The following is an 18,448-nucleotide window of genomic DNA, read 5'->3' as shown; positions in this document are numbered from 1 at the left end:
TAACATATATTTTCCTATGTAAAGAAAACAATGGAAAATATTTAAACAGGTTCATCACAGGATTCATTTAAAACCTGTGTGTTATTTTTCTATCTTTATTCCCTGATATATTTCTGAATAATTTTCTAGCTAGAAAGAAGGTGCTTTGATACCCGCTTTTTTTGAAACCCTTGCTTTTTGAGATTTTTGATTCAATTAAACTAAGTGGAATGTGTTATAATCTACTATCACGCATGTGGTCAATGGTCATGTACTCACACAAACCACAGATGCATGCTATAGTCACAGCACTTAAGGGAGACCTAAATCTTATGTTATCAATCTTGGTACACATCTGTGAAAATATATAGAATTGGTCTACCACAGAGGGTGGCAAACTGTAATGCAGAGTCAAACTCAGCCCATGGCCTGTTTTGTACAACATGTGGGGTTTTTCTATTTTTAAAGAATATTATTAAAATAAAAAACAAGAGAATAAAAAGCAGATGTGGTAGGGATGATATGTGCCTGAAAATTATACACATTGTAAAATGATTCACTTTTTGGATATTCACAGAAAAAGATAGGCTCAAAACCTCAGAGAGATCTTCAAGTCTGGTAGCAAACACCATTTGCCAGATCTTGACAGTAGCCTGAGGCAGGGCAGTGTGAGTAAACACAGCACCTCAGTGAGCAGAGGAGGAAGGGCTCCTCTGACCCAGCTCTCATGACTTAGATGGCCAGTGGCAGCAAGAGGTGCAGAGAGGATGGCCACGTGTGATCATTTGTCCTTTCATGGAAAGTCTCTGAGCACATCTTGGCAAGTGTAGATAAAGAGGAGATTGCATTCAGCTAGAAGAAACTAGAAAGTGGTGGGTAGAAATAGAAAGTAGTGAAGGAAAGGGGAACTAGCAGCTACTCTGTATGCTGCAAAATTTTTTAAGGACCTTTGCCTCATATTGACCCGAGTTAGGAGCTATGAGGCAGGCTTAGTGTTATATGTGACCAATGCATCCTTGTTATGCATCCCATAACATAGATGCCATTTGTACCTGTTTAAAGTACTCACCACCTTACAGTGCAATTGCTACTGGCCCTGCTCAGAATGGTCACAGCTCTTGTCTTTGTCTGTTCACGGATTTTTTCCTATTGCACTTGGCTTCTGTGTGTCTACCCTTCAGATTGGTGACCAGTGCAGGTGTCTGTCTCTGGAATTTGGGTTTGATCCTGATCATACTCCTGGAGTCAGCTTTACTGACACTTTGGGTAACTTTCCTTTCAAGAGCTGTAGAATAAAAGCTCCAATGGTATGGCTAACAGCCTGTTATTGGTATGGCTATGTAATGGTATGGCTAACAGTCTGAATTCTGACAGAGACAAAAGCAATAACACAACATCTGTCTCCCTTCAATGAATCCCCTCGAAATGAGCCATTCCCAAGGTTTCATGCCTGAGGGCTTTCTTGACAAGCTTCCAGTGTAACTCAGGTAACTCAATACATGAGTTACTATTGGCAACATTGTTGTATTCAACTGTATTCATCATGTAAATACAAGTAAGTACCCCATGCTACATGTGGACACTAGTCTTTTCAGCCATAAAACTTTTCCAAAATGTAGCTTGATCTCTTAGGTTGAACAACCCATGAAATATTTTTACCTCCATTCCTCTGAAAGACATAGGGTTGATCTCTATAAACTACAGTGTTTTCATTGGAAAAGATAAAACCATCCTAAGGAAATTCAATTTCATTCACCAGAACACCTACCAGGCTTATGGCTACCTTATTCCAGACCAAGAATGGAAAGCCTTCAGATCCTCCAGCTTCTGCAGCTTCTCTGTTCCAGCACTCTGTTGGGAATCTGCACCTTTGTTTATATCTTCATACTCTCCTTTAGCCGAGGAACACCCTCCTGAGAATTAATAGGCACCTAGTCCCCTGGGAACAATGACTTTTGTTTTAATTTTGCTTTGATTTGTCTCATCAATGTCTGTTAATAATGAGCTCTCTTAAGTGAGCAGGCTCTGAATCACAGTGACGGCTTTAACTGATGTGATCCTGTTCCCACACAGGTGCAGGATTTGGGTACAGTCACTCTAAGGCATTATCAAAGACAGCCCAAATCCAGCAATGGCTCTATCTAAGATTCAGTGTATGTCTTAAAAGGCTCAACATAAGCCAGTCACTGAGGTCAGAGACAGGCAGACTTGAGGTGGAATCCTGCCCACAAATGTGTTCTGTTTGGTCATCACAATGTCTAGACAGATTTTTAATGTGATGGCTTTAGGTAAGTAACAAGGTCTCTAATTTATCATAGGCTCCTTCTTTCCCCATTGTCTTATATCTAGCCCCTTAACATTTATTGGTCCTCAAAGGCACTTAATCTCACAAAACAAAAAGTAATGCCCAGGGTCACAGCATGCTTAATATCTCAGACCCTCACGTTCAGAAGGGAAATTGTTCAGCCCAGTAACTTTGAAAATTAGAAATAAATAAATTGTATAATTCTGCTGGCAAGTTGTGCAGGGGCATATGATTTTCAGATAAAGAAAATAGAAAATAAGATTTAGCAAAATACTATTGGCCTGAAACAAAGTATATCACATAAATGAACCAACTTAGATAGCCGACAATGATGACTTCATCTTCAGGTTAATACAAGAGGTGATGTGATGGAGTTGGGGGCTGTAGTAATCAGTTAGGACAGGCAGAAAAGTGGAGAAAAGAGTCCAGTAAACTAGCAGACTTATACTATAACATGGGCCTAGTTGGCTTAACACCGCTGAAGATTTGATAATATGCAGAGCTCTGATAAAGCTGTAAACCCTACTTAAGGTCAGAATTTTTTTGGTATTTAGTAGCCTTTTACTGCAAGATCATGCCAGTAGAAATACAGTCAGGATTATGATACCTAATATTCTGCCTTCAGGAAAATGTCAGTCCTAGTTAAACACTGTATTATTTTCCTAAAGCCTTAGGTCCCCTAGACTCAAGGCTTCACTGGACTTGGGTAGAGGCAGCACTGAAACTCCCGGGCAGATGGGTGACTGAAACCAGATTTGTTAGGCCCTGAATATATTTAGAGCTGCTTGCTGAGGATGACAGACAAAAGCGATACAGAATATCCTTTGAAATGGTCCTCTTTATTATTACTGGACCAGAACAAAATAACCATGAAGGCCTACTCTAATTCTAGCCCAAAATATCCAGCCTAGTTTCTCAACTTATTGCTCTGGCAAATTGCAGCTGTCATGAAAATATAATTAAGGCCTAGAAAAGAAGCACATAAGTGTCGAACCAAGAGAGCATTGCAGACCTAGTTAGATTATCCTAATTAGAGAAGATAACCCTAAACGGTTGTGTTCATTCAAACTTTAATCTTTATTCAAACCTCCACCCATTAGGAAAATACCTTTTCTGATAATAAAAAATCTCCCCCCGCTTTCTAAAATAGATAGTACAAGTAAATTTTATTCCTTTCCCCATCAATTCTTATGTTACCTACCACAAACAGCATATCTATTGCCATCATCATTCATTTATTTGATGTGTATTTCTTGATGACCTATTATGAACAATGCATTGTGTCCAGCTACTGAGAAACACAGATGACCAAAATAGATGCATTGCTTTTATTGAGCTTATAGCTCAGAGGACAACTATGGATCGTCAGTGAGTAGGATAATCAATATAAAAAGCTTTCAGAAACTTTTAGAGGTAAACTTCCAGAAAACCTTGAGCCTAAACCTAGAGCAGTTTTTAGCAGGTAATGAAGAGCACCTCTTCAGTCTACAATGGCTTCAAAAAACGAGGAGCACTGCTTCCTCACATTCCTATTCTTATACACAGATAGGAGACATAATTCAATTTGATTTTTCACATTCAGAAAAATGTATATTTTAACTAGAGTATTACCAAAAGGAGTGCAAGTTTCTAATGTTGATGTATTTTTTCCAGCATCAGTCCACAATCATAATGGAATTTATATGGCTCATGTTTGCCTTATGGCACATCCTTCTATTAGTTCCTGACATGTATCTACATCATTTTGAGTGGAAAATTAATTGGTCTCCAGATCCAGAAAAGGCTACAGGGTCACCAGGTCAAAAAAGCAACTAGAACTATGATAAAAATTACAAGTTTGTCTTTGTTGTGTTGTGTTTTTTTTTTTAGGGAGAAAAACAATTAGAACTCTCATCTTGGAAAGGCTAAATTTAGGTAATTTTTAGGAAAAAGATGAAATAAAATCTATTATCTTTCTTCTATTTTTTTCTCTGATTTGACTTGCTACCCTAGCTCTTCCTCCTCCATTTCTGCTTTCCCTTACTTCTCCTTTTTATTTATTGTTAACAACAATAAATAATAACAATATTATTATTAATATCACCATTTTAACATAAAAGGGTGTAAACTTAGAAATAATAAATATTCCCTGCAAAAGCATTTTTCTCTCAGCAGCCTTCCTGAGACCACTTCTGTATACTTTATGTGCTCATAGCACTTTCTCCATTGCCCTGGAGCTATCCCCATACTTTCTAAAAGACTTGGCCCCTGGATACCTTTTTCAGGATCATTTTTCTTCTCTATTTGGAGTTTTTAAAAAAAGGAAACAAGTTGGTAAGCATATCATTTTAATTGACTTTACAGGATTAAATAACAGAACTTGCACCAAAAACAATAACAAAAAAGATCAAGGATAGATTTTCAGTACAGCAGAAGAAATGGCTCATACCTCATTCTGAGGTGACTGCATTTTCTGTGAACCTACAAGCTCTCCAGGATAGAACATCAGTTGACCCTGTGAATTCGCTGCTTCTAGTGCATCACCGCAAATCTTTTAGCCTCATTTTCCAATCACTGTTACAGCAATCAGACTCATTTAGTCATTGGCTGGCTTTTCGCAGGAAGAATCTGAAAACCTCTCAACCTAGGCGCGTGCCATGTACCTCTTGTTTCTTGCCCCAAGACTGACACTGAATGATGAAATATCTACATGTACTCACTTGGTATCCATGCATGTACAACCCAGAAATAGGGGGAAATTAAGGATTCATGAGGTAGACTTTCAGCAATGGGAAAAAGGATCCAATGGATTAACTGTTTCTGTCTTTTTATTTTCCTGGGTTGAGTATCCCGAGACGTATTTGATAAGGCTTCAGAGGTGGCCCTGTAGGATTAGGCAATAGTCACCCATAATGGTATCTGGATTATTATTGATATGCCATTTCTCAACCTCCAAATTCCTTTTTACCTGCTCTGTGATGAAGATGTTGGGCCTTATAATGTTTTGCTAGCTGGTACAATGTTAAGATTTGTCAGTAGAGGGTAGTGGAGGCACACTGAAAGGAGAAGAAGAGGTTTTTCTCTTCCTGGTTTTATTGTGGTTTGCCAACCAGACTCCTACAAATCATGATTTTTCTTTATTGCTTGGCTCTGTGTGGTTCCTCCAGGGCTCAGTTCCAGCAGTGCATAGCTTTCTTCAGCATTTCACCACTGAGCTTGTTCTCCAGCTCTCCACTGAAACAACAATGGCATAACCTGGAACCATAGGCATAATAGGCCAGCACTGAAGCTGAGATAGCTTCTTCTATATCTTCTCCTTAGCCCTGAATATCTGTGTGCACATCAGGGGCCCCATGGGACTAGTCTTCTAGCAAGGTAGTCACTCAACTTATCCAGAGAAGGTGGGCTGGAGCCACCCCAGGTACAGCCACACATGGAAACGCATTATACTCCTAGAAAGAACAGTCTTTCCAGCTCCCAGGTACAGCAACGCCCAATAATCAGCAGTTTCCCTTGCACTTAGAGAGTTCTGGGGCTTGGCACCTTCTTACGGAAGGCCTTTCCTGCAACTATCAGAGGGCAGATTTATGGAAAACCTCACTGATAAGGCCCTTTTGTGAGTTCACCAGCCTAGTGCAAGGGAAGGAATCCTCCTTAGGTGCTTTATCCCAGTGCTTGGGGTAATGGTTGCCCCTTATAGCTGTTTCTACTGAATTCTTTATAACTCTCTTTAACAAGCTAATTTCTCCACTATTTTAGCTCCTTGTTAATAATTCTCTAAATTAAATTTTTCCTGTTAAAATTATTGTATGATTTCTGTCTTTTGATTGAACCCTGATTAACGCAGCATCAAACTCAATGAGGTGTTTTCTATCATCTTATTCTTTCTCCTTCTTTAACTTCAGTTGTTCCTCATTCATGGTCCCTGGAAGCACATTATCATTAACATGCTCAATTGATAACAAAATCTGGTTGCTAGCAGTCAGAAGGCTGACAATAATCCTTGAAATTCAATGGCATCACAATTACTAACACACTCATTTGTGATTGACTGGATGAAGTTCAGGTGGAAGGTAAGGTATTAGTTTATATAGTAACTATGGATCTGAATCTAGTCTTCCATTTTTACCTAAAACATCTAAAGATTATGGAATGGGCTGATTTTATTATCTGCCTCAGAAATCTTGAAATAAGAGCTAATCAGATTGGGACATCCAACTCACAATGCAGGGTATGCCATGAAAATCAAAGGTTCTCTGTAGGAACACTGACAGAAACCTTTATCTCATTCAGACATAGATTATACAGCTCTAAAAATCAGGCAAAGGATTTCACTAAAAAGGTGGCAGAGCTACAAGGCAGGCTGCTCAGGTTTGACAGATCTTCTGTGATAAAGTCAAAAACCTTGAAAAAGACTAGAAATACAGTAATGGGAAAATGATGAGATCCTCATTCCTGGAATGTTGACATTTGAGTGAATAAGTCTTCAAATCTTGAGACTTTTGAATATTTTATGCCAGAAGAAACAGATCCCTTCTTACTTTTCAAAGATAATTCATTTATTACTGTCTGGAGACCTTACACAAACCAAACCTGAGTGTGATGCCTCACAACTGATACCTTTCCTCCACAAGAACTGCCCTATCATTTCTCATTGCACCCAAAATAATAACCAATCAGGTCTCAGCAAAGCCTGAAAAGAGGATTTTTATTAACATTTTTGGAGAAAACAGCTTATTTACTGAAGGCATTGCAGAACCTACTTAATTGGACTAACCGGAATCAAATGAGTAGAGTGGATCTTGAAGGTGTTAGATCCAGGCAGCAGTGGAAGTATGTGGTAGTATGAATATTAATTAACAGAGAAAAGTTTATTGACATGAAGGCATTGATCCATGATTAGAGGTGCAATATTATATCAAGGATACCCAGAAACTGTGCTAATGCACTACTGAGACGGTTGTTTCAAGATTGGATATGATAATGACCACAGAAAATTAGGTGGAGATGCCAAATATTCTTGGTAAAATGTGGACTATAGAAATATCAGGGAAGTTGACATGTTAGAATTGATTTATCCTATAGGACAAGAGAATTTACCACATGATTATTTTCTCCATGAGGGAAGAGAAATGTCTTCACAGAGGCAACAAAGAATGCATTTGTAAGAGGAAGTCTGGTTCATTTCAAAGGTCAGCAGTTGCCGTACTCTGTAGGCTACACATAACAATGAAAGATGCTTCTGTGGAAATGGGCTTCCTATTAACAATGAGAATGAAGGAATTCTGAGACCACATGGCAGTACTTAAAAATCGTATAAGTGTGTATAATTTTTATAGAGGATAGAAAGGCTAGAATGGCTGTCAGAGTGATGGGACCCACACTGATATGTTGCAATATATGATAGTCTTCCTGGAGACGAGCTAAATGAACAGTCTTCTAGGATGTACCCAGCATACATTTGCAATAGAGAACTTCTCAGCACCAGGCTGACATCAGCCATATGATGGGAAGTCATGATCCCTTAACCTGTTTAAATATTTAAGTCACTTCATGTATACAGTACCCATTAATTGAATATGAGTCTTGGTCTCCCCCACAAAGTGTCCCACAATGCTACTACCAGTATGTAATAAAAATTATCCAGATTTCCCCCCAAACAGTCTAAGGTCATTTACAAATGTAACTGTTCATTAAACAAAGAATACCCAACTCTTTAAGGACTCTTATATATAGGTTATCTAAGGTTATATCTAAGAGTTCTTAAAGAGTTTGTTCACTCAAACATATCATCATGCTCTCTTTTGGTTAACTTATAAGATTATTGAGAGTGATTAATGGAGTTATGAACAACGTTTATCTCATAGTCAGCCCAATAATTTTTCGGCTTTACTTGTGGTTATTCTTCAGATGCTTAATCACATAATTGAGGATAATATACTTAGCAACAGGAAAAACTCTTACGTTGTTATGCTATCTGAGACATTTGAGCAATTATTGTAGGGATAATGATGGACAAGGTCAAAAAGCACAAATAATTTATGTGAATAGTTGGCCCAGAATCCTATGACACTTGTCACTGTTGTATGGATGTCTCGGCATTAATTCACATCCATGGCCTCATGGGGGATTTCGTTAAGTTTCTGGAAAAGGAGGAAAATACTCAGGCTTAGTTCATGAATAGACTGGTAGACAAGTTGATGCTAACCAAAAATTGTGTGCAGTGGCACAATAGCCCTACCTTTGATGGCATAAAGGAGAGTGGTGAAGGAAAACATTTCCAAAGGGCAGAGTTGTGAGTAGTACTCTTGGTTGTTAATGTTGTTTGGGGGAGAAGTTGTCTGAAGTCTGTGGATATACATGGACTAGGACTTTGCTAAAAGGCTTGGATAATTTGTCAACAGATGGAACTAGCAACTTTGTTAGAAGAGATGTAAGAAAGTCTGCATGTGATGTGCTATTGAAGCACACACAAAGGATGAAAAGCTCTGTGTCTTATGTTAATATTCACTACAGAGTATTCACTTCAGAGGAGGGACTCAACAACCAGCTATAAAGTATCTATACGTTGATATCAGCCAGCCTTTGCTCTGCCATTGCTAGTCCAGTGAGCCCATAAATGAAACCATAAAATCAGGGATAGAGATAAATATGAGCCAAAAGTACAGATTCTCTTACACCAAGATAAATCTTGGTTTAAAAAAAAATGAAAAATAGTGTTATCCTTACTCCTAGAATGTTAACAATGTAATTACCAACTTTTAACTCTTCAGCTAACAGCAGCAGTAACTGATGCTGAGCACATAATATGGTATCTTGTATTTACATTAGGTAGCCCCTGCACATAATAAAGGGCAAAATAATTCCATCTAGATAAGACCCAATGTGGAATTACATTGATGTGTATTTTAGGATCCACCCTATAGAATCTCTATTTTGGAATCGCATATATAATCAAGAATTTCAAGAAAAGAAACTAATTAAAGTGTTTTCTGTGTGTCATTCAGAAAATAACAACTGACTTATTTAGAAAGTTTCTCACATTAAATGTGAACTTTTATAATTGTATACAGAGCCTGAATTAATACTTTATGTAGCTTTCATACTGCTTACAAATATAATTAGTTGTTTATATATGTTTCTTCACTTCATATTGAAAACAAAATCATAATTTAGTTGGCAATGACATGAATTTATTGACAAAGAAATTGACTAAATAAATGTCACATAACCTATAAATTGCTTAGTTTGGACTGTTGGAGGCATGTGTGGGCACTTTGGGACAATTACTCCATTGTAGCAAAGCACTTATTCATAAATGGCTTTATCTCTAATCAGAAATAGCTGATGATTAGATTTGGAGTGCTTCTGAATTAAGACCTTGATAATGGCCTTTTGAATCTGCTTAATCTTTACACTGTAAATAATAGGGTTGAGCACAGGAGGGATTAGCAGAAAGACATTGGCCATGATGATGTGGACAAATGGAGGTGCTGAATGGCCATAGCGATGGACAAGAGACAAACTGATGAGAGGGAGGTAGAAGATGGAAACAGCACTGATGTGGGATGTGCAGGTGTTGAAGGCTTTCCGCCTCTCTTCTGAGGAAGCAATGCTGAGGACAGATCGAATGATCAGGATATAGGAGAGCAGGATGCAAGGGCAGTCAAACCCTGTAGTGGACAAAAGCGCAAACAGACCAAGGATGCTGTTGATCCTATTGTCTGTGCAGGAGAGTTGGATGAGATCAACATGGTAGCAGTAAGAATGTGAAAGGACCATAGAACTGCAGAAGGACAACCTCTTGACAAAGAGCATGACTGGCAACATGACGGCAACATTTCTTATCAACATGCTCATCCCAATCTTGGCAATTCGGGCATTGGTAAGGATGGTAGTGTATCTCAGTGGGTAACAGATGGCCACAAAACGATCAAAGGCCATGGCCAGTAGAACCCCAGACTCCATGAAAGTAAATCCGTGTAGAAAGAACATCTGGGCAATGCAGGCATTTAGGTTGATTTCTCGGGCTTCAAACCAGAAGACACCAAGGGTAGTAGAAAGTGTACACAGGGACAAGCTCAGGTCTGTGGCTGAAAGCATAGAGAGGAAATAGTACATAGGCTTATGGAGGCTCCGTTCACAGAGGACCACAAACAGGATCATGCTATTTCCAGAGACGGCAACAACATATAGGAGACAAAAAGGGATGGAGATCCAGTACTGGGTGGCTTTCAGGCCTGGAATGCCCATCAGGAGGAAGATCAGAGGCTCAGCAATGGTATTATTGAGGACCGACATAGGGAAGCACTGAGAAGACAGGGATGTTTCAGTCATTTAACATAACACATAATACATAGTTTATCACTTGTAACATCTCTCTGGCACTTCAAGATTCACTGAGTTATTATTTCTAATTTTCAAAGAACTTGAATTTTCTTTTTAGCTTCCCAGAGCTACACATTTCTCTCCAAGTCTGTCAGTGTTTCACATTTATTGAGAAAAGTGAATTCCCTGAACTGTGCCACATCAAATTTTCTTAAGTATATTAAGCCTATAATTCTCATTACTAGCAATAAACATTACAATTAAGTCACGTCTGCCAATATAAATCCCCAGTAAAATTCCTAAACAATATTATGAGAAACCTGCTTTCCAGTACTTGTTGAAAATAAATTTTGATTCTGGAATAAAACACTGAGCAAACTAAGTCATATCTGAAATGTGAATATTATTATATTTCCTTGGAAAATATCCAGAAGAATGCCAAAAAATCCCTGGGACACACAGGCCCATATATGTGGTAATAGGGTGGCCCAAAAAAACACCCTAAGAAAAATAAATATTGATCGCATTTGTTGGGAGTTCCCTGTGTTGTTGACATTTTATATGCATTATATAATTTCATCCATACACCAACTCTTGGAGATAGATCGTACACGAATTTTGCAGATGAGCAAGCTAAGACTCAGCAATTAATCACCCAATGTTATCTTTATAAAGCACTGCCTAAATGTTGAGAGAAACCACAAAAGTAAGAAAGTTGGAGAAAGGAGAGAGACAACGATGACAGAGGAGGAGGAGAAGAAGGAGGAGAAAGAGAAAGACTAGTGAAGGTGGAGGCAGGTAAGAGCACAAAGGGGAAGAGGAGGAAAGTGCAAGAGGAGGAGGAGGAATAAGAGGAAGAAGGGAGGGAGTGAGAAAGAAGGGAAGGAAGAAAGGGAAGGAATGGAGGAAAAAAGCAAACCTTACCATAATTTTACTACAATAAATTAAGCACTACACTATGATAAATAATACCACAGACTAGTATCAAAATAAAAAAAACACAATAGCCAGCATTTCTTGAACATGTGCCATATGCCAGACACAATTATCTTCATATCCATAATATGATCCAATCATTATTATTCAACAAAGAAAATAAATTTCTTATCCCTAATATACATATGAAGAAACTGATATTTACATTAAGTAATTTGCCCCAAATTATGCAGTTAGGCAGTAGAAGAAATGAGGATGAAACCTGCATATCTAACCTCAATGCCTTCACTCAGTAAAGCTGAGGAATGCATAAAAGGAATTTCTAAACCAGTCTGACAAAGGCTCCAGGTGTATGATTTTAAAGAGACATACTATGGTCCGTGTGGTATCTTTGGAGGGGAGTTTGATGTGTCAAATGTTAATTCCATGTGAACTGTGGAGATATGAAGCTCTTTAGGCTTCTCTGGAAAGTAGTCTTAATATCGATAGTTCCTGTATGCAAAGGGCCAAGAAAATCAGGTATCCAGGCTATATCCACTATGGAAAATAACACCAAAATGGAACCATCAAATTCAGTTGAGGCCAGGCACAGGGTTCATGCCTGTTATCCCAACACTTTGGGAGGTCGAGGCGGGAGGATCACTTGAGCCCAGGAGTTCAAGACCAGCATGGGTAACATAGGGAAACCCCATCTCTACAAAAACGTTTACAAATTAGCCAGGCATGGTGGTACATGTCTGTAGGTCCCAACTACTGGGTAAGCTGAAGTAGGAGAATTTCTTGAGCTCAGAAGTCAAGATTGCAGTGAGTCATGAATGTGTCACTGTACTCCAGCCTGAGTGACAGAGAGAAACACTGTCTCAAAAAAAAAAAAAAAAAAAAAAAAAAAAAATCAGTCGACTCATTTCAGTGACCATCTCATTCTTTCAACAATACATATTTTGTTGATGATTCTGGAAATTTTCTCTCCCTCATTATTTTATGATACCAGTCTCTCTTAATATTCTCCCATTAATCAGCTCTTTCTCTGACTGTTTCAGTTTTCTTGTTTCTTTCCCCCCTCTCCCGGGTACCTTATGTTTTCCAACCTTATATTTGGCATTCTTCAGAGATCTCTCCTTTGCCTATTCTCAAGTCACTTGTAAAATTATCTCCCCCATTTTCACAGCCTCATATTTCACCTATACAATAATAAATTTCAAGTGAATTTCTGAAAACCAGTTTTGGTGTTTAGGTTCCATGTCTGAAGATAAAACTTTATTCTGGACATTTCCATCTAGATTTTTCATGGGTAAATAAGAAAACCTCCTATGTTCAAAACCAAATTGATTATTTTCTCTTATAACTGTTTTTCCTCCTATACCATTTTCTGTATAAAGGCTATAACTTTCATAAAAATGACCCAATTTTCTAAATCAGAAATCTAGGAGTTATCCTGTATTCTCTTATTTTTTAACCAACACCTCTTCCAATCTTTTCTATTCAACCTCTAATATCTGTCTTTATTCTTCCAGCTTGTCTTTATCTGAGTACAAAATACTCTTTTCCAAATGTATTCACTCTCTAACCTGGACTATTGAATTAGTCTAATACTGTATTTTATTAATATAGTCACATTAATATAATAATATAAAATGAAAGACTCCAAAGCAATAACAACATCCATTTATTAAGTACCTTCTCTATTCCGGAAACACATAAACGAGAAAAACAGTCTTTTAAGCTGAATAACAATGACAATACCACATAGCAGAAACTGTGAGGCAAGATGACATCCAAAACAACTTACAGCTTGAAGAATATAGGAAAAAATGATGGACAATATTAAGCTTCTAAGTTCTCAGTTTAAGAAGCTGGGATTATAATTAAATAAATATCGAAAGAAGCAATTAACAAAGATGAAAGGCACAAATGAATGAGTTAAAAATAAAACCAAAGTTATTTAAAAAGAATATAATGAATCTTTTTTTCAAAGACAGTCAAGAAAATTTTACAAAAACGATGAAAAATGAAAATAATAACAAACCTATGATTAGAGAACTATAACTTTAAATATAATGACTAGTAAGCACAATTATGATAATATGTTTGATGACGTACATAAAATAGATGATTTTATAAGAAAATATCGATCACCAAACTAGCTGAAGAAATAAAATCTAGCATAGAAGAAATGGTAATGATGGAAAAAATATTTACCAATAAAGCAAACAAGAGTAACTGTTTTGATTTTTGAGTTCTACCAATGTTAAAGAAAAGAGACTATTTCCTTCTTTTCAAACTTATCTAGCCCAGAAGAAATATTTGTTAGCAAACTACTTGCTGATATATCACTAATTCCTACACCCTTTAGTCTAAGCCTGTCACTCTGAGCCCTGCTTCCCAGTATTTCTACCCCTGATTTGCAGTCCTTTGCCTCTGAGCACTTGCCTCTCCACTTCCCATTCCTCCCTTTCTGCTCTCTCTTGTCCCCCAGTTTAGACCTCAACAGTCTCTGCCTTCTTGGTCTGCTCTTTCTCATGCTCTCATACCTTACCTGGCTCCCAACAGAGGAAGAGGTGCCCTTTCTACTCACTCTCCAGCCAAGTGTATTTGTAGATGGCTCTTGGACCTGGCCTTCTCTAAGAAGCCCTGCATATAACCCAACCCTGTTGCCAAGAGACCCTTGGGACTTGACCCAAGGTGTAATGACTAGAAATTCCCAGGAGATTCCTCACACTAGACTGAAGCAGATCCAAATATGTTTACAGCTTCCTTTTAATTATTGCATTATCTTTATAATATTTTAAATGAATATAAATGTTATTTTTTCCATTTTTCCCCCAAAATATGAAAAAGTTTTGTAGATTTTTGTTTGTTTGTTTGCTTTTTTAAGATGCAGTCTCACTCTGTTGCCCAGAATGGAGTGCAATGGCAGAATCATGGCTCACTGCAGCCTTGACCTCCCAGGCCCAAGCAATCCTTCCACCTCAGCATCCCTAGCAACTTGGACTACAGGTGCATACCACCACACCTACCTTTATGTATTTATTTATTTTGCAGAGAAGGGGCCCCATTACATTGTCCAGGCTGGTCTCAAACTTCTAGGCTCAAGATATCCTCCAGCCTTTGCCTCCCAAAGTGCTGGGATTACAGGCATAAATCACCATGCCCAACCTCCATTAACTTTAGATTCTACTTCCTGCTATGCAGAGTGCAAGGAACAAATGCCCTTACACTTCCCTTCTTCTCTTCCCTCTCCTTTCCCAAATTTAGTCCCCATAGTATAATACTTTCCTAGGCCATATATAAAAATGTACATACAATCTTATAGCTATGATTTTATATTTGTTTAGGTTATTCGAACTTCAAAAGCAACAAAAAAATTATTAAAATATAATTAAATAATTATTCAACACGGGATACAGAATATATGGTATGATTAGAAAAATAATGACACATCAACCTATGTCACTAAACGTGCCACTACAAAAGAAGGCACCCCACTTTGGGAGGCCGAGGCGGGTGGATCACGAGGTCAGGAAATCGAGAACATCCTGGCTAACATGGTGAAACCACGTTTCTACTAAAAATATTAAAAAAAAAAAATTAGCCGGGCGTGGTGGCGGGCGCCTGTAGTCCCAGCTACTCGGGAGGCTGAGGCAGGAGAACGGCGTGAACCCATGAGGCGGAGCTTGCAGTGAGCCGAGATCCCGCCACTGAGTTCCAGCCTGGGCAATAGAGCGAGACTCTATTTCAAAAAAAAAAAAAAAAAAAAAAAAGAAGGCACCCATTCATCAAAAGAAAATCAATTATTTCCTTTCATACTAATTCAGTTGCCCATAATCATATCAATTTTTTTTTGTTTTGGACCATAGTTTTCTGGAAGAACTTTTATGTTGTCTCTGGAATTTAAATTATCTTTCGTTTTGTCTGATAGCAGGATAAAGAAAAGCTTTTTTTTTTAATTATCTCACAAATGACTTAAAGAGAGGTACTGCAACAATAATAGTAGAGGACTTCAACATCCTACTTTCAGCAATGAACAAATCACCCAGACAGAAAACCAATAAAGAAACCTTGGATTTAAATTACGCTCTACACCAAATGGACCTGACGGACATTTCATCCAGCAGCTACAGAATACATATTCTTCTAGATTGCATATGAAACATTCTCCAGGATAGATCATCTGTTAGGCCACAGAACGAGTCTTAACTAATTTGAGAAGATCAAAATCGTATCAAGTATTATTTCTGAAAACAATAGTACAAAACTAGAAATCAATATAAAGAAACCGTGGAAAATACAAACACATGGAAATTAAACAACATCTTCCTGAACAACCAACAGGTTGATAAAAAATCAACAGAGAAATTAAACAATTTATTTAGACAAATGAAAATGGAAGTACAATATACAAATACCTATGGGACAGCAAAAGCGGTATGGGAGGGACGTTTATAGCAATAAATGCCTACATCAAAAAGAGTAGAAAGATCTCAAATTATAGTTATTTGTTGATAAGGAAAATTAAATGCTTGTAAAATTGAGTGAACACGTAAATATCCTCAAGATCTTGTTAAAATGAAAATTCTGACTCATTAGGACTGAAATGGAGCCTGAATTCTAAATTTCTGACATCACTCCTGTCTGAGGCCATATTTTGTGCAACGTTCTAATATGTTCTGCATTTCTTGAGGCATGTCGGATTGTTGTATTCCTGGGATTATTTTACATAGCATCCATAAGTAGTTTTAATTCATACTTGGTTATCATTTGTTGAACTTTACTGTATACCAATTTCACTTGCTGAAGCATATATTCCAGGATTTTTCATTCCAAAAAAAGTACATAAATGATAAATTTGCTGTGTTCCCTGTCTAAAATTTCTTTCTTTTTTTTTTTGTTATACTTCATTGCTGTGCTGACTATATGAAAAATAAATAAATCTAAAGACTCCAAAATCACTAAGCCAAAAGAAAAAGTCAAGCTGGGAACTGTGTCAGGTAAACCTGCCTCCCATTTTATTCCTATAAAAGTTAGCTACTAAGTATAAAAAGCTACATACCTGCCTCTCAATTTGCCCACAAGGAAATTCTTCGTGGGCCTCAAGATCTTTACCCTAAAACAGTGATGCCGAATTTCACCCTGGCAATGAAAATTGATAGCTTATCTTCACAGGTGTGGAAAAAAGAACAGAACTGGAAGCCATCCCTTTGCTCACCTGAGACAAATGCACATCTGATTGCTTCCTCTGCCCTACTGTTTATGTAAAAACGCAGTCACTGAGCCAGACTAAGGCATAAGTGACTACTTCTCTACCCACCCCCTCACGTGTAAATTGTGTATTTAGTGAAAGGTTGATCAAAAGAATGCAACTTTTGTCTCTTATCTTCCTATTACCTGGAAGCTCCTGCTTTGAGTTGTCCTGCCTTTCCAGACTGAAAAAAATGTATATCTTAAACTTATTGATTGATGTCTCATGCCTTCCTAAAATGTATAAAAGCAAGCTGTACCCTGACTCTGTTGGGCACAAGTCGTCAGGACCTCCTGAAGCTGTGCCACGGGTGCGTTCTTAACCTTGGCAAAATAAATTTTCTAAATTGATTGAGACCTGTCTCAGATACTTTTGGTTCACAACTATATGCAGAATTACTATGCTCTAATTTTCTCTAAACATTTTTATTAATGTTTAGAGAACATTATTAAGGGTTGGTTTATTAATACGGTGGATGAGATTACTAGCTCTCCTTGCTGGCTACAGAGCCAGTAGTTTTATCCACTGTATTAGATTAACCCTTTAAAATGCTCAGAAAAAAACTACTTAGAGCATAATAACCCTTGGAACACAACCTGGTTTGTAGAAACTGTTTGAAAATCTCACCAATTCACTGTTAAGTCTGTGTAGACCGAAACGATTTTTACTGGGCTCTTTTTGTAGGTCATCTTTCTCCAAATTATATTAAAGCATTAGATTCTGCTCTTTATCTACTCTTTATGAAGCGCTTCATACTTCCACACTACTATTCTATATTTACTTTTTTTCAGTTCTTCATTCTTTTTTATTCTTGATGAGTAGTATTCTATTGCTTAAGTGAGGCCAATTTTGTTTAATCTTTGATTGACAGATATTTGGGTTGTTTCCACATTTTAGGTATTATGAATACAGCTGCTATAAGCATCTTTAGACGTTTTTGGTGGATGTATAAACCATTTATTTGGAGTATGCAACTAAAAGTGAAATTGCTCGCTCAAAAGGAGGTCTAGTTTTACTAGAAATTGCAAGAGATTCAACTTATGAGTGCTCCAATTGCTCCTCATTTTTACCAATACTTAGTGTTGTCAGTGCACTTAATTTTAGCTTTTCTAATTAGTTTATATTGTTAAATTGTTACAGTTTAAACTTTCATTTACCTAATGAATAATAATGTTGAATAATAATAATAAACCTTTTCATATGCGCATTGACCCTTTGTCTACCTCTTGCTGTACACGGCCTGTTTAAACCCTTTGCTTGTATTTTTCATGAGTTGGTTTTCCTTTTTATGGATTACGGGGCTCTCTTTGTCAGATATATGCATTGTGAATGTTTTCTCTGTGACTTGACTTTTCACTTTTGTATTGGTCTCTTTTGAAGGAGATTTTTTTTTATTTTAATGAAGATCAATTGTTGATCTTCTTTTATATTGTGGCTAATGACTTTTGTGTCCTGTATAAGAAATCTGCTTTCCCTGAGTTCATAAAAATATTACTGTACTTTTTAAAGAAGCTCTATAGCTTTAGCTTTCAAATTTAGGTTTATTTTATACCTCAAATAAAGATATTTTACTTTGAGGTAGAAGGTGAGTTTCACTTTGTTTTTTTCATACTGATTTCTAATTGTTCTAGCACCATAAAAACATTGTTCTGTCACTGAATAGAATTGATTCATCTATTGAA

The 18,448-nt window shown here is 37.3% G+C and overlaps 2 protein-coding genes across 3 annotated transcripts in view; both read right to left on the bottom strand.

The window, feature by feature from the left end:
* Window positions 1-18,448, bottom strand: part of MMP26 (matrix metallopeptidase 26) — a 287,646-nt gene that overhangs the window by 160,444 nt on the left and 108,754 nt on the right. The gene's annotated exons all lie outside the window — the stretch shown is intronic.
* OR51F2 (olfactory receptor family 51 subfamily F member 2) lies at window positions 9,530-10,665 on the bottom strand. The gene has a single exon (NM_001004753.2). The coding sequence runs from the start codon at window positions 10,562-10,564 to the stop codon at window positions 9,572-9,574; it is 993 nt and encodes a 330-aa protein (NP_001004753.2). The 5' UTR covers window positions 10,565-10,665; the 3' UTR covers window positions 9,530-9,571.

The sequence above is a fragment of the Homo sapiens genome, chromosome 11 (genome assembly GCF_000001405.40).
Source record: "Homo sapiens chromosome 11, GRCh38.p14 Primary Assembly".
NCBI lineage: Eukaryota > Metazoa > Chordata > Mammalia > Primates > Hominidae > Homo > Homo sapiens.
The sequence above is the reverse complement of the archived record's forward strand: the minus strand, read 5'-3'. Positions and strand labels throughout refer to the sequence as shown.

Bases quoted from the DNA above. Each gene is read 5' to 3' on its own strand.
- OR51F2 (NM_001004753.2), bottom strand. From the start codon at position 10,564: ATGTCGGTCCTCAATAATACCATTGCTGAGCCTCTGATCTTCCTCCTG.